We start from the raw sequence: 16,926 nt of genomic DNA, 5'->3' as shown, positions 1-16,926 counted from the left end.
GCTGGTCGGAAATACACATGTTACTGCATGCTCTTATGGAAGGAAGGCTGCTAAAATAACATTCCCAATCCACCTAAGGTATCTTTCTTATTTATTCTGGTATGAGTGACAGTCCTCAAAGTCTGGTCACCAGACCACCTAATTTAGAAATACCTGGATTCCTGTTAAAAATGGAGGTGGATTTGTCTGTTTCTAAACCACACACTAATCTAGAGAAGGCAGATGCACCTGCAACAGCAAAGCTTCCCCTGCTTCTCCAAACTCTATGTAGAACAGCAACAAATAAACAACCTCACCCTTAGTCTCACTGCCTTCTAAAATGAAACATTCCAGAGCTGCTGCAATAGGTTGCCAAGGGGAATAATTAATCGTTACAAATCCAAAAGTGCAAAAGTATTTTTTTTTCTATTTTAAAGCGACTAACATTTTGAGAGCATTTACCGCATGCCAAACCTGCAGGTAGACGCTATCACAAAGGATGTTTTATGTTCATTGCTGCTCAATCATCACTTGTCCTAAAAATAGGAAGATATTCCCGGGTCACTAGCTTTACTCATTTGCATGCAGCTCAGCATGGTGGCAATGCTGAAGCAAGCATACACGGATGTCTGACTAGTAGGCACACACCACATCACAATTAAGGGTTCAATTACCCATGTGGCAGCTAGGCAGGATGGAGCCCTGTGTTCTGTCTTTTAGTCAGAGATTAGAACATGTCTTAAGAATGAGCATTGCCCTATGTGGTTATCTCTATGGGCATTGTAGTTCAATTTGGAAAACACAAAGCACTTTTTTTTCCAGCAGATTCTCACTATTGTATTTTTTTAAGAGGTGATCAAATAGATACCTAAGATAAAGGAATGTCAGGATTTATGGATTAAAATCATCACTTTTCATTGTACCAAAAAAGACTGATGGAATTTTGTTCACAAACTTGAACCAACTGCTCAGATTACTTCATTCAAATCTGAGTGCATCTCTTTCTGCACTGCTGACTTATGCTGTAGATCTTTCTCTTTGCAATTTTCTTTATCTTCATATAAAGTGAAACTCTGGACATGTATAGGAATGTGCACACAATATTTAATTTGGTAGTCTGTGCCTGGCAGGGCCAATGCAGCAGAGTCTCACATGCTCCAATTTGTTATTGCACTTCTATAGAATTCACAATGAATTTCACAGTGGAATGTACAATATAAAATGTGCTCAATTTCACACACCTTTTAAAGTAAAAAGATCGCTTGGAAACTTTGTAAATTCAAATAAAGTGAACTGGATAGACTTTTTGGTGTTTCTTTACTAAGGGTCTTAAATACTGAGGAAAATAGACTTCTGTTTTCAATTTCAGATGTCATGATTTTAAAATAAATGTTATGTATATCTCAGGTTATAACATGATGTTATGGGATACATATAGATAGTAGTATGATTACTGTAGTCAAGCAAATTAATATATCTATCATCTCACAGAGTTAGTTTTTTTTTTTCTGTGACAGAAGCAGCTAAAATGTAATTAACAGAAGTCCCTGGTACAATACAATTTTATTTACTCTAGTCCTCATGTTGTGTGTTAGATCTCTAGATTTGTTCATTCTACATATCTGCTACTTTGTATCATTTGACCTACATCTTCTGTCTTCTCCTTATCCCCCTAACAACTGTTATTCTCGATCTCTGTATTTTTATTCAGCCTTTAAAAAGGAGATCCTGCCATTTGCCAAAACATGGATGGACCTGGAGGACATCATACTAAGTAAAATGAGCCAGACATGGAAAGAAAAATAGTATATAATCTCACTTACAGGCGGAAGCTTAAAAGAAGTCAAATAATCATATTTAATTATTAAAAGCCACTGTTAGCATTAAAATCCAAATATATCATTTACTCAGTCATCTTCACACACACTATTTGAATTTCCTCTATCCTGATTTTATCAATACGTACATTATAAATGAAATACTGTACTGCATAAGCGCCTTCTTTTTTCTTATACATAATTTGTTTTTATTTTCATATTGGTCATTATTTAAATTGTATAAATTATAAGAGTATTTAATTCCATATTGTTAGATAGATCATCCTAGTTTTATTTTTATAAGTAACTCTATCATAAACAGTTTATAGTACTATCCAACGTACTGATGTTTAAGAGCTTGGGCTTTGAAGTTGGGCAGAATAAGCCTCAAATCCTGTCAGAGCCTCTTAATAGTAGTGTGACGTTAGACATGCTATTTAACCTCCCTGAACCTCAGTTCACCTGTGTCCTAAATGGATACAGAATAGTAGCTTCATGATAAATCTATCCTGAGAATTAAATAAGATGACCTATGTAAACCAATATATTGTAAATGCTCAATAGTTGTTAGCTATTGCTATAACAATTTTTGTCCTTCTGAATTATCAATTTGAGTTGATTTCCCAAGAATGAGAATATTGGTTAAATGATTTGGAGACTCATTAATTTAGTCATAATATAATTGAATGTCTACTCTATGTTAAGTGCTGAAAGAAAGTGGTGAACAGTCAGGTGAGGCCCCCAAATAAGAGGTGTTTGCAGTTTGGAAGAGAAGATAGACATTACATTAAGTCATTATATTTAAATATAGTGTTGCAGAAGAGAAAGTAAAAGTGTTAAAAAATGTAGACCAAGGAGATATATATTGCCTAATTAACTTCCAAACTATTGAACATTTAAAATAATATGTGAGAGTAATGCACTAGTTACTGAAATTCTCAATAGCTTTTAGCTCAAATTTTTTCATTTCTACCTTAATATCTGCAAAATAATTTTGTCAAAAAGATTTACCCATCTTTTGTCCACTAAGGATGTTGCTGTGTACTTCAGAAAATAAAATTATCTTACTACATATTATGGATTCTCCTTTATTTCCTATAGATTTACCATTTTTCTATATATTTTCCTATATATTTACCATTTTTCTGATATTAAGTGTTGTGGTTATTGTACTAAAGTTTTGCAGTTTTACATTACTGCATATATCTTGCCTTTCCTTTATAATTTCTTCCATTGATCCAATATTTATACTGTACATTTTCCAAGGATCTTTCTATTTTTGACCTTGAGAGTTCTCTCACTGTATCTAAAAATGCCACTCATATCACAGCAGGCATTTTTTCCCTTTTCTATACATAAACCATGGTCACTGATGTTCACTCAAGCACTGTGCAAAGAAGTAAAATGCAGCTTGAAGACACAACCTAAACGCTCTGCTCTGCTAAAAATAAACTATGTTAAAGTCATTATAGACCTTTTTATTTTTGTTAAGAAAAGGTGATTTATGTTGTCAATTGTGTAAAATCTTCAGAATATCTTCATGCTTTAGAGGGGGATCTCCCCCCACTGTAAAAGTGACTCTTAGAATTTACATTTATATTTATGTTGTTCTTTTACAAAGATGATTCACCAAGTCGTAGCTCAGCCATGTAAACCAAGAACCAAAGCACTTATGCTTGAGAAATTTCAACATGAATGTTACCATAGAGACTTTTTCTTAGTATTTAAAAACCACTCCTTTCGGACCACATTTGAATGTTCTTCAAGTAGCCCATGAAAATTGTTTATAATGATACATGTCATACATATGTAATTGAATTATGCTTTCAAGAATAATCTGATGAAGATGGATAGATGGATAGAGTACTAGAATTTAATCAGTCTTGAGGACAGACTATGTCATCATTACACTTTATCAATTACAAATCTTTGATGGAAGCATCACGTAGTTTTCATTTTTATATTTCCTGTATTTAAATTGTCAACTAAGCTCTCCAAAATTGCAAGAGCAATATGGCTAGAGGTAAAGATGGTAATACAACATTACTATTTCTAAAAGTATACCATAATTCTTTAAAATAGGGACTGTACTCCCTGGGCATACATAGATATGGTTTAAGTAGAGGATCACCTGATAGTCTGACTCAGGGCAATATTCAAATTGTTTAACAGCCAAGGCCTCCAGTGGTACCAGATGTTGCTTTGTTGTAACTGGATTATGCAGAGATCAAAGTCAGGGGCTTTTAATGAAATTATAAAAGACTTATAAAAAAGAGAAGATTATGGAAAAGTCCTAAATTAAATACAATTAAAATTCAAAATGATATTTCTCAACCTGAGAACTAAAATAACCATTTTTTATTAGATTCTTAACCATGCTTACTGACATCATCAATATGTAAGTATTATACCAGACACTTGGAAATGCATTATATTATGTAATATTCACACCCCAGTGAGGCTGGTAGTATTAATTCTGTATTATGGATAAGGAAATGGAACACTAACGTTACATAAGAACTGGCAGAAATAGAATGTGAATCTGGTCTCCTAACTTCAAGTCCTTTCCTCAGTCCAATGTCACAGCTGCCTCTCAAAGGTGTTTACTAGATGTGTATAGAGATGACACGGATGGGTTGCTGGGTGAATAATTAGATAGCAAACCTATTTCATTGTTCTTTTGCAGTGTAATGTCATCCTTAACTCTAAAATACTAAATATTTTTGGAAAGTAAAAGTGTTCTTTCATCAAGGGAAAGTTTCCAGAGGATATTAGAAAAGTATTTTTTAAAAGTTGTTTACTTATAAAATTCCTAGAAGAATACAGTGACCTGCTACTATTAAAAAATACTTTTCTTCCACTTGAGTTGTTTGTGCTATTATTTTCAATTAATTTATATTTATGTATTTTAACTCCATTGTCTTTTTTATTTTTGTATCAAGTGAAAATGTTTTGAAAATGACTCTGGTTAACAAATTAATTAAACATTCAATAAAATCACCTTTATGCCTACATCAGTAATTTAAATGAATCATGTTTTGAAAGTTTTTTAAAAAAGAAAAGGTAGTAGGTTTCAGAGCTTGAATTGAATACCCAACAAAATTCTAAACCCTTATTTAGCAACTGCTTAATAAGAAATTGTAAAATAATCAAGAATAAATCCAAATACTGTAAAATGGATTGGTAGGCTTATAGATAAGAGGAATTCTATAGATATGCTGTTTATGAACTGAAGGTCATTTGATGTCATTATTGAAAAAAATGAGGCCGGGTGCGGTGGCTCACGCCTGTAATCCCAGCACTTTGGGAGGCTGAAGCAGGCGGATCAAGAGGTCAGGAGTTTGAGACCAACCTGGCCAACATGGTGAAACCCTGTCTGTACTAAAAATACAAAAATTAGCTGGGCATGGTGGCACGTGCCTGTAATCCCGGCTACTCATGAGGCTGAGGGAGGAGAAATGCTTGAACTGGGACCGGGGGTGGAGGTTGCAGTGAGCCAAGATTGTGCCACTGCATTCCAGCCTGGGCTACAGAAAAAGAAAAAAGAAAAAATGAATACTGAAAAAAGATCTGATGAAACCACTGTATCTAAAGTAAATTTATTAGTAGATTGGTACAAGTTGAGAGGAAGTGGGCAGTAGTGGGACTGGATGAGAGCTATACTGACAAATCACGTATCTTTTCGTCAGCCTGCCCAAGTCTACATTGTTATTTTTTTCAAATAAAATATTTGGATGAGGATATAATCAACAAGGTTTTCATATTTATGCGCATCAAACACTGAGAAAGACAATTAATCCCTATGTTTACTTCCTACAGTTAGAACTCTAAAGGGATGATGAATGAGTTTAACCAAAAATAATAGATTGGGTATGATGAATGTAAAATATGAACTTAGGTTCACAAAAATAACTGATTAAATATAGGCAAAGGGATATAGAAATTACCAAGAGTGTATGTATAAATAAAATGCTTAGAATTATAGTTTATTGCAAGCACAGTACAAATTAGTATTGGGACTTACATACCTGCATAAATAGTGATTTACTGCTCTACCCAATATGACTTGTTTGAAAGAAAGGAACTAATATTTCCTATGTACTCCCTACCTATTAAATCCTACCCAGGATCTCGTAATTCTTCTTGACTCTACATTTAATAGGATCAGGAGAAATCTGGAGTCTATTCAGAAAAGGGCAATAAGGATGGTAAATGGTCTGGAAATCAAGTGCCACAAAACTATTGAAGAATTAGGGAGTTGTTTGAAGAAGAAAGCAGAACACAGTATCTGCCTACTAAGTTCTAAAGAGCTACCAGGGATAAAGGAAATAGTTTGGATTATTGCAGTTGCTTACGCAATTTAATAATTCAAAACACTAGGGAGGGAAAGTGGTAGAGTGACCAATTGCATCTGAATTTCAGGAAGACCACATTAACAGGAATTGAATCTTTACTTCCTTAAGTGACAAGCTTTTCATCCCCTGAGCTGTCTTGTATGAGAACCTGCTTTTGCACTAATCATCCCTTGTGGATCTGATCACTCAAGTGAACATTTCTGAGAAATTCAGTGGGAATGTTAATAGTACCTAACTAACGAAGTGAATATTAGGATTAAAGAAGATACTATGTGTTAAAGGTTTAATGCAGCCCCTGTCACATATAAAGTGCTCAAAAATGCTACCTTTTTGTTACTAGATGACCAATTTCCAAAGAGAAAAGGAATTTTTTTTTCCTTTTTTTTTTTATTATACTTTAAGTTTTAGGGTACATGTGCACATTGTGCAGGTTAGTTACATATGTATACATGTGCCATGCTGGTGCGCTGCAATTTTTATCATAAAGAGATGGAACTAGACAACTCTAAGTTGCCTTTTTAGGCGAAAAATGATACCTTTTTAAAAAATTACTAGTTGACCTTTTATACTACTACATGACCAATTTCCAAGGAGAATACTGAAGAAAACGTGCTTCTGTCATATAGAAATGGCACTAGACTAAGTTGCCTTCCAAATGGCAAAATCAAAAGATCCATGAATCATTGTGAGGCCAATCATTGCATTTCTACAGTTTTCTTAAGTATACTTGCATTATGGTTATGACTATTTTGAGGCAAACATTTTGGTCTTTCTGGTCTGTAAATAGACCCTTAATATGCAATCTATATGTAATAGTCAATGTGTGGGAGTTAATCTATATAAAATAAGTTAATACCTATAGTTCCCATGTAACTATATATTCCCAAATGTCTACGTTGGTATTTTAGTTAAATGTGATATGTACAAATGTTTTTATTGACATTTCAATTCAAATTTCCAACTATTACTAGTATCTGAGGTTGACAGTTTTCCTGAAATAATACATGGAATACATAAAAATGCATAATATATATAATTATTTTTACAACTGGTGAAACTTTGCATATTATGGACTCATTAACAATACATCGAGGCATATAAATAACTTTAGCTGGACCACAAAGCCTTTAAATTTAGTAATTCTGTGTTTTCTCTGCAAAAGCCTGAAAATGGAAAGGATAAGAACTTCTAATAAATAGAATTATCTTTTATTTTGAAATTCAAGTACGCACTCACATCCTCTAGACCTACTGCCAAACCATTCCCAGTTTGTGTGAGTGGCAGCTCTTAATAGACAGCAAAACAAATACTCTGTAGTACTAATAATTGAAAAATAATTAAAGAATGAATTAATGTCCCAGTTGTATTCACCCCAGAGTAAATTGTCGTGAAGGAATGTCTAAATAACAACATCAAATAAAATAGGGTAGAAGTAGGCTTAAGGAATTTATTTGAAATATAAATTGTTATTCATTTAAATTCAGATTATGTTTTAATAATAGCAACTTGTATTGCATATTTATACTCTGCCAGATACTCCTAAAATTATTATGTTTAATATGTTATTATATATTATGTATAATTTAATCCTCACAACAATCTTTGGCCATAAAATTTCCACTTAGTGTATGAGAAAAGTGAGGCTTCAACCAGTAACTCACCTAAAAAAAATGAGTGCTAAATAAAGAGTGTAATGTAAAACCTTGACTCAAGACCCATACATGTAACTACTACTGACCACCATTTACAAAAAACTTAAATAAATCAGCATCGACTAAGAAAGCAATCCTCAGTATAAAGTGACTCTCTCTTTTAAGGAGGAATAAGATGCAGATTATTTGGGCCGGGCGCAGTGGCTCATGCCTGTAATCCCAGCATTTTCGGAGGCTGAGGCAGGCGGATCACGAGGTCAGGAGATCAAGACCATCCTGGCTAAAACGATGAAATCTCGTCTCTACTAAAAATACAAAAAAAATTAGCCGGGCGTGGTGGCAGGTGCCTGTAGTCCCAGCTATTTGGGAGGCTAAGGCAGAAGAATGGCATGAACCTGGAAGGCGGAGCTTGCAGTGAGCCGAGATCGCACCACTGCACTCCAGCCTGGGGAACAGAGCGAGACTCCTTCTAAAAAAAAAAAAAAAAAAAAAAAAAAAAAAAAGATGCAGATTGTTTGTTACTGATGTGCTATAGTGAGGCAAGAGGTATTTGATCATTCTTCATGGCACGTTTAGTTTGTTTCCTTTCTTCCTATTTGGATAATGGTCTAGGTTTTAATATGCAACTATACTTGGAGTATCTGCTAAAGCCCATCTATTAGGGTGGTGCTTTATTAGTTTTGGATATTTTTAAAATCAATCCTATATTTAGCAGCTGTAGGTCTTTGCATAAGTTTAGTCTTTTATAAAGAGAAGCATCTTTCTCTAGAATAACCGGGTTGGAATTCAGAACTATTAAGTGAAAGATGACCTTCTATCTTGGTTTTCAATTTGCTAGATTGCTGTTTATTATGGTGTAAAACAGCTTTCAATGCTTAAAAACTATTAATATTTGATATAGTGCTCCTCCATTTACCAATCTCCACAATAACGTGATATGAGCAAAAATAATGCTTTGTATTTATGTAGCACATGTCTCCATGGAGCCCAGAGGATTTGGTTGACGGGATCTAAAAATGGCTTTGTCAGGGAGAACAGAAATCTAATCTCGTAATTATATTGCCAGTATTAAAACTGACACTGATTCTATATGTGGCTACTAATGTGAACATTATGCAGTCAAAGTAATACGGATGGCTTCTTCCAGCCATCTTTATAATCAATAGTAACCATACTAAGAAGTCATACTATGTTGTATTATTTTACTTTGCCTTGGCAATGTTTAAATATTATACACATATACTTCCTTTTATTTAATAACTCTATTGTAAACAGTCATGTGCTAAATAATTATAATTCTAAATATTTTCTAAGGCAATAAAACAAATTATTACGTGTTACAATGTTTATCTTTAAAAACAGTCATTTTTAATGTGAAAAAGCAGGCACTATAATGTTACTGTGTTGTGAATTGAGATGCTTTTAATGCATGGTTGCCTTTTCTGGATGGAAAATATTGATCTGTAGAGTGATGAAATGGTGATTCTCAAACTATAAGTTTCTTACCTCATCTCCACTTTTCCTCTGTGTCCTAGAAAATGGGCTAACCCAGTGTGTGACTATGTAGTATGTTGGAAGGAGAATAGCCCTGGATTATATCAGTGGTTCTGAAATCTTATCACCAGAATCATCTTTAGGACTCTTTAAACATACAGATTGCTGGGTTTCACCCTTAGAGTTTCTAATTCAGTAGATCCGCAGTAGGGCCCCCACATTTGTATTTCTGCAAATTCCTAATTGGTGCTAAAGATGCTAAACCATCATGAGTTTGAGAACCAGCGATACAATCAATTAAACTTCTGCTTTTCCATTTACAGAGAAAGAGATAATTATAACTACATAGAAATTACGTGCCAACCAGTGTTCTGGATGGTTTAAGCACAAGAAAAATAGAGAGAGAGAGAAGAAAACTAAGCTATTTCTATTCAAAAAGGAAAATGTTAACTCTGGCTAAATATTAATACCAATTCTAAGATCACTCTCAACCTAGGCTGCTGTTTGCATTACATTTTAATATTCCTTCAACACATATTTATTGAGCACTTATTATGCAGTAGGGGCTTGCATGCAACAGAGAAAAAGAAATGACTCCAGTGTCTGTGGAGCTGAATTTGCATTTGATGTTATTTTGCTTTAATGTACATAATATGTCTTCAATTTTATTGCATATTTCTTTTGATCCCTATGCTTACTTCACCAAAATTCTTCTTTCCCTCTTCCTAATCTTAGTGCATAATTGGTAGTTATAAATATTTTCCTATTTGTCTTCCTTCTGTGTCCAAGTCTGAAGAGGGTGACAAAGATGGTTCTGACCATTGATAGCACTAAGGTTGGGCCACTGACATCCATGGGTCTTTGGACAGGAGGATATTCTTGATATTACAGGAAAGATAAGTAAGACATAGGTATTTAGCAAAATTCAATCATGGAAACTAAAACTATATGAACCTATGAAAAACAGTATTCAAGTTTATTGTTTTAATTTGCATCTATTTGATTATTAATAATGTAGAAGCTATAACTTACCCATCATGTTGGCAAAATTTCCTTGTGGTCAATTTATAGAAATTGAAATAAAGATGTGCAAGATAGTTACACATTGATATTTTTGATAGTATTGGTTTAAATAACAAACTACTGAAATGTAGTTGAAACATCTCAGAGGACGGCCAGTTAAATAAGTTATGATATATATTGAAATTTTCATACCATTTAATTATTGAAATCATAATTTATAAGGTAACTTAAAGATATAAGTGAATATTTGATACAAGTTTAAAAATACCAAAACCAAAACTTTGTTTCAACTTTCTAACTCTAAGCATACAGAAGAAAATGCTTGGAAAAAAATATACCAAACATTAACAGTAGATTTTTCTGCATTATAAATTATTACTTTCTCTTTGCATTTGACTGTGTTTTACAAATTCCATCTAAAGAGTGTGTTGTGTTTATTATATGACAAAAAGGTGTGTGTGAGTGTGAGTGAGTGTGTGTGTGTGTGAAATAGAGAGAGAGACATTACCCATATAGTATTCCTTTAGGCAGCATATGAGGACGCTTCTGAAAAAACTCTTTGACTGCAACTGACAGTTGTGGTTTGCCTTTGTATCATTATGTAACCATAATCCTGTCATGATTTTATTTTGCGATACATATAACTGTTAGTGTTCCTAAACAGGTTAGACCTTGTTCTTATGTGTCAGGATTTCCCTTTACCAGGTAAAGGGAAGAGAAAGAACAGCCATCTGAGTGGAACCTGTGTGTCCTGAGCAATCTCGCTATCTCGTCTCAGGGGCACTTCATCTACTCTGTCTATAAGCATTTCTTACAAACACCATCTTTGAGAAAATATTTCTAAGAGAAGAGTTTATATGCTACCCATATTCATACCTGTGACCAAATCCTCAGAAGAATACTATCAAACACGTTTATGGCATTTACCCTATGGCCAGGAGCTGTCTAAACGTTAATCGTCATTACTATCTTTTGACGTGCATACTCTTACAGACCAAAAATTGAGGCCTTCAGCTGGTCAGCAGTTTACCCCAGGTCACACAGATGAGAAGAGTTGAAAGCAGGATTCAAACCCACCAAGTATGGCTCCAGAGTCTGCACTGTTTCTTAATATCATGTAAAATGATTTTCCTTTTATAGTTCTACTTTACCTGCCTCAGATTTCTGAAAATGTGAAAAGACCCTGAACTCATGATTGTGGTTTTAGAGTGAAAACATCTTCTTTCGTCTTCTCTCAGAAGTTTGGTGTCTGAATGTAAATCCAGTGAGCTCTGTGAATTGTTAAGATCCTAGTATTTATCGTCATCATGCCGAAAAGAGGACTTGGTGCACGAGGGAGTTGCCATTCTGATCTTGAACATCTGTCCCAGCAGCTAAATTCTCAGTTGCTCCATTTCATTATTGGTTGTGCTAAGATGTCAGGAGAGATTTTGCTTTTAAATGTGGCCCTGTACTTTTCAGTAACTAAAGGAAAACAGGATACATAGTATCTGAAAAAAAAAAAAATGTATCACTGACACTGAACTCAATTTGCTCTGAATGACTAATATTTTTACTAAGAGGTTTCCAAGGCGTATTATCACTACAACATAATTTATGCTTTTGGGAGTATACCTTTCATAGGTCTTCTTAAAAATACTTTTCTTCCCTTACAAGATAGCACATAGCAATTAATGACGTTTTAAAACATCAAAATATAGGCTCCTTTACTTATTTTTTCTTACACAGTTTCAACCCTAGGGAGGGAAAGCCTAGAATAAAAGCTAATAATATCATAGTGTAACCTGAGCTAAGTTAACAATCCTAATGTGGTAGTCTAGTTTTTTTCTTAAGCCAGGTTTATAATTATGGTTATGAACAATGATTATAATTGTTTGAAAACCTGTAGAACTGACCATGCAAGCGTCATATTTTAAAAATCTAGAAGCCGTGCTTTAATAATTAAGATCCATAGTTTTTTGTTCTTTGTTCTTTCTGGTCTATATACTTTGTTCACCATCTTTGAAGGAAAGGCACCACTTGGTTCCACAGTGTAGTAAATGTTTTGTATGTATTAAAACATTTAACATTTAAGAAACTAACTTCCAAGTGTGTGTATGTGTGTGTGAATGTTTTTGTGCATTTGGTAATTTCTTATTCGGTGCTTATTTGGGGGTGATTCACAATTGGAGGAAGTTTGGGGAGATGGTCAAATGTTCACGAGTTGAAGTGCAGAACCCCCCTATTCCCAGCACTCAATGTGGTTAATTATCATGTTGTTGAGTTTTCACAATAATGATAATAGTGGTATCAGGTGTAGTATCAGCAGTTTTTATCTCAAACAGAGACTTTAATGGCCTTTAAAAATAATGCCTTCCTATGAATGTTGCCTTCCTTGTGAATGCGTATTTGGAGGATTCCCATTTTATACACATGCAAACCAAATAAACTACCGGTTCCAAAATGGACTTTTATGAGGATTTCATTACACCCTCCGAGTGGAATTAATAACTCTTTCATGTTTTTTCTCACAATGTTTGGTGCATCTGCTGCTGTAGCACTTTTCACATTGTAATAAATGAAGCTCTATGGATCTGCTTTCTCCCCTTAGAATATGGACAACTTGAAAGCAACAGTTAACTCTTCTTTATACCTATCTCTCATGCTTTGCACCATAACTGATACACCTATTGGTTTTATCATAAAAGTCTGTTGTTGTGATTTGAGAAATACTCATTCTAGAGTATATCTAGAAATACTCTAGAAGAAATAGAGTAAATGCAGCTGGTTTCCTAGGACTGGCATCTTTAGAAACTTGCTTCTCCACACTTTCTATAGAAATTTCAGAAAGTCTCAAGAAGGACATTCCAGGCACGAGCATGAGCAAAGGGAGGGTTACGATAACACACAGTTTATGTTTAGGGACTGGTAAGATGGTGGGAGTGGAGGGTTAGGGGCTGGGCGACAGTGGCATGCTAAAGTCTATGTTGTAGAAAGGATGGTCAAGGATGTTGGATGGACAGCATCCTGCTAGAAGTTACTGGAGGCAGAGAGACTGCTTAGCATCTGAAGTTGCTGAAGATTCCCAGGACGTATTTATGTTTTGTAATTAGGAAGGGAAAATAAGAGTAATAATACATTTAGTTATTTGTCTCTCATCTTATAGACCAAGCTACACCTTAGATACAAGAAAATATTTAAGAGGTTATGATGGAAATAATGTGCGAATGTGGGAAGAGCTGAAAAATGCAAATTTTCCTATTTTATATAAGTTATCCTGAGTGGAATTTCTTTTGTTTGTTTCTTTGTATACTGAAAAGGCATTTTGTTGTACTCTGAAGGACGAGTAGACTTGTAACCTGAAGATGCTAAGGTTTTCCCTGACTTTTTTAAAAATGAGGATCACTGCTTTGGAAACTTGACATCCTGAAAACTATATATATATATATATAATATATATATATTTTATATACATATATAATATATATATATTTTATATATATATAATATATATATATTTTATATATATATAATATATATATATTTTATATATATATAATATATATATTATATATATTTTTTATATATATATTGTTATATATATATGGTGTATATATATGGTTATATGTGTATATATGTATATATATGGTTATATATATATGGTGTATATATATGGTTATATGTGTATATATGTATATATATGTATATATACACACACAACGTATCTATCTATAACCATATATATATGGTTATATATATATGGTTATAGATAGATACGTTGTGTGTATATATATATACATACACACTGTATATATATACATACACACACATACATACATACATAAATTGAAACATTTAATGTAAGACCTAAGTTTTATTGAATATTTAATACATGCTAGGCACAGACCTTACATAGTGCTAGCTTCAGCAGCACATACACTAAAATTGGAACAAAACAGAGATTAGCATGACCCTTGTAATTAAATAAAAATAGAAGAGAAAATAATAAAAATTTGAAAAATTGAAAAAGATCTTTACATGCATTGTTTCGTTTAGCACTATAAAATAGGTACTATTATCTCCTTTTTAAATATGAAATAATAACAGTGCTTTGCTGTAAGAGGATTTGCCCTAAATCACATACCAGAGGAAGTAGTGGAGCCAGAATCTAATCTCAAGGTATCAGAGTCCAGGTAGTTTGTCTCTAGCTTCCCAGGAGCATCCCCAGGAGGCTAGATGCCCCATTCTTGTGTTTAAAACTGATCCACATGGTGGTGTTAAGCAGAGGCCTCTTCACTAAGGGAAAGCTTAGGTCTACCCCAGGTATTCTCTTGCTGTCCAGGGATTATCACATGTGCTCCATTAGAAAACAAGGCTCCCATATACACCTTTGAGCTGTCTGGTCATTCATCATTTCTCACCTGAAACTGTACCAATTGGCTTTTGAGTTTCCTTGCCTCCATCTTACCCACTTCTAACCCCTTTTTCCTACCCTAGCTTACGTGAGTTTTCTAAAATGCAAAGTTTGTATCATTTTCCCATTTATATCCTTCAGGGGCTCTCCATTTCTTTCTGAATGTTTTAATTTCTGCCATGCGGCTCATAAACTCCTCTCTGGACTCTACTCACCACTCTTGTCTCCTTTCTTTCCACTCTCACAATCCACAACTGGTCTCTCCAGATCCACGATCATTCCAGCTGGTCTTCACACCCACTGCCGGCCCTAACTAGAACACTCTGCCCTCGCCTCTCACATTAAACTGCTCCATACTTCTAGGTGCTTTCTGTAAGACATTGCTCCTGAAGTCTCAAATTTGGGTTAATTATTTCCCCTAGATATTCTAGTATCATTTTCTACCACCTTGTCATAGAATATCATGCAATCTGAATGTCTGATTACTTATTTTTATCTTCCATTTGACTGTAAGTTCATTGAGGAGAGGGGAGGATGTGGTCCTGTTCTTCATACTTGTGCCCTCAATACTTGGTATACAGTAGGAGCTCAAAATTGTTGTTGTGTAAGTGAATGAAGGAGGACGTCATTTAAAAGCTAACTGGGGCCAGGCACAGTGGCTCAATCCCAGCACTTTGGGAGGCCGAGGTGGGAGGATTGCTTGAGCCCAAGAGTTTGAGACTAGCATGTACAACATAGTGAGACCCTGTCACTACAAAAATTAAAAATAAGCTGAGGAGTAATGGTGCATGCGTGCAGTCCCAGCTACTTGGGAAGCTGAGGTGGGAGAATAACTTGAGCCTAGGAGTTAGAGGCTCCAGCCTGAACTGCACTCCAACCTGGGCAAAAATCAATTGGTAACACTTAATGCACAATTTTAAGTGTTTAACAAATATAAAGTCATTTCATCCACATAGGACTTCTTTTTCTTTTTCTTTTTCTTTTTTTTTTTTTTGAGACAGTCTCACTTTCTCACCCAGAATGACAGTGGCATGATCTCAGCTCACCGCAACCTCTGCCTCCCGGGTTCAAGCGATTCTCATGCCTCAGTCTGCTGAGTAGCTGGGACTACAGGCGTGCACAACTATGGCCCGGCTAATTTTTGTATTTTTAGTAGAGACGGGTTTCACCATGTTGACCAGGCTGGTCTCAAACTCCCGACCTCAGGTGATCTGCCCACCTTGGCCTCCCAAAGTGCTAAGCCCTAATTTTTTTTTTTCATTATTGTGGCAATCTGATGAGACAATTGCTTGACAGGGAGTTTAAATAGCTTGCCCAAGATCACACAGTGGCAACAGTTGCATTTGGACCTAGACAGTCTGGCTTCAGAGTCTGGACTCCTAACTTCTGCTACACTGGCTTTCTGAAGATTTAAAGTCAATAGATCAATGTTTCTAGGTGACTAGTGGCACTTCAGGACATTGACAAGAGGGAAAACATGGAAGCTGGTTTTTGCTCTTGTCTCTATAACTAACAATTATGTGATTCTTGTAATCTCTCTGTACCTTACTTTAATTATTTGCAAAATTGGAAAACTATGGACTGAGTGATCTCAAAGGTCCTTGTTCTCTAAATGAGGATGATTTGAACCAGCTACTTTTTTATGCTGCTATGAAGAAGGTAAATGCTTCTATGCCTTTAATTTTTTTTCTATTGAAAAAAATTACTAAATGACTATGAACTAAAATAGGTACTCTAGGTCCCCTCTGCAGACTTCTTCAGGCTTTTATTGCCACTGTTTTGAAAATTCATAATCTCATCCCATTGCTCTCTGATCAAGGACTTGCATTCGAGTAAGGCTGTGAGACTCAGTAACCACATTAGAGCCACCTAAGAGATTAAAGTCAGTCTCCACTGATAATTGGGCACACTATTTCCAACAATAGTAACTTAAATGAGAAATGTAGGTCATTGCCTAGTCCACTGGCTAGCACATAGTAGGCATTCAGGAAATGTTAGCTCTCTAGTTCATTCTTACAGATTGTATTTTTCTTGTGAGTTTTCAGTTATATCACTTTGTTCTAGTCTCCAACAACACTTATTGAAAAAGGACAACTAATAAGCATTGTAGCTAATTTGGTACATGTTCCTATTATATAATCACCATGGTACCCAGGCTCTTAACTGAAAGCAAACAAATTTATAGAAAGAAAAAAATTTGTTCTCTCACATAA

General features: G+C 34.7%; 1 protein-coding gene and 1 pseudogene across 12 annotated transcripts in view; both read left to right on the top strand.

Moving 5' to 3' along the window:
• Window positions 1-16,926, top strand: part of MAGI2 (membrane associated guanylate kinase, WW and PDZ domain containing 2) — a 1,436,613-nt gene that overhangs the window by 115,181 nt on the left and 1,304,506 nt on the right. The gene's annotated exons all lie outside the window — the stretch shown is intronic.
• Window positions 14,215-14,315, top strand: LOC124901823 (uncharacterized; annotated as a pseudogene).

This window comes from Homo sapiens, chromosome 7 (assembly GCF_000001405.40).
Source record: "Homo sapiens chromosome 7, GRCh38.p14 Primary Assembly".
Classification (NCBI taxonomy): Eukaryota; Metazoa; Chordata; class Mammalia; order Primates; family Hominidae; genus Homo; species Homo sapiens.
Note: the sequence above shows the minus strand (reverse complement) of the source record. Positions and strands in the feature narration are given on the sequence as shown.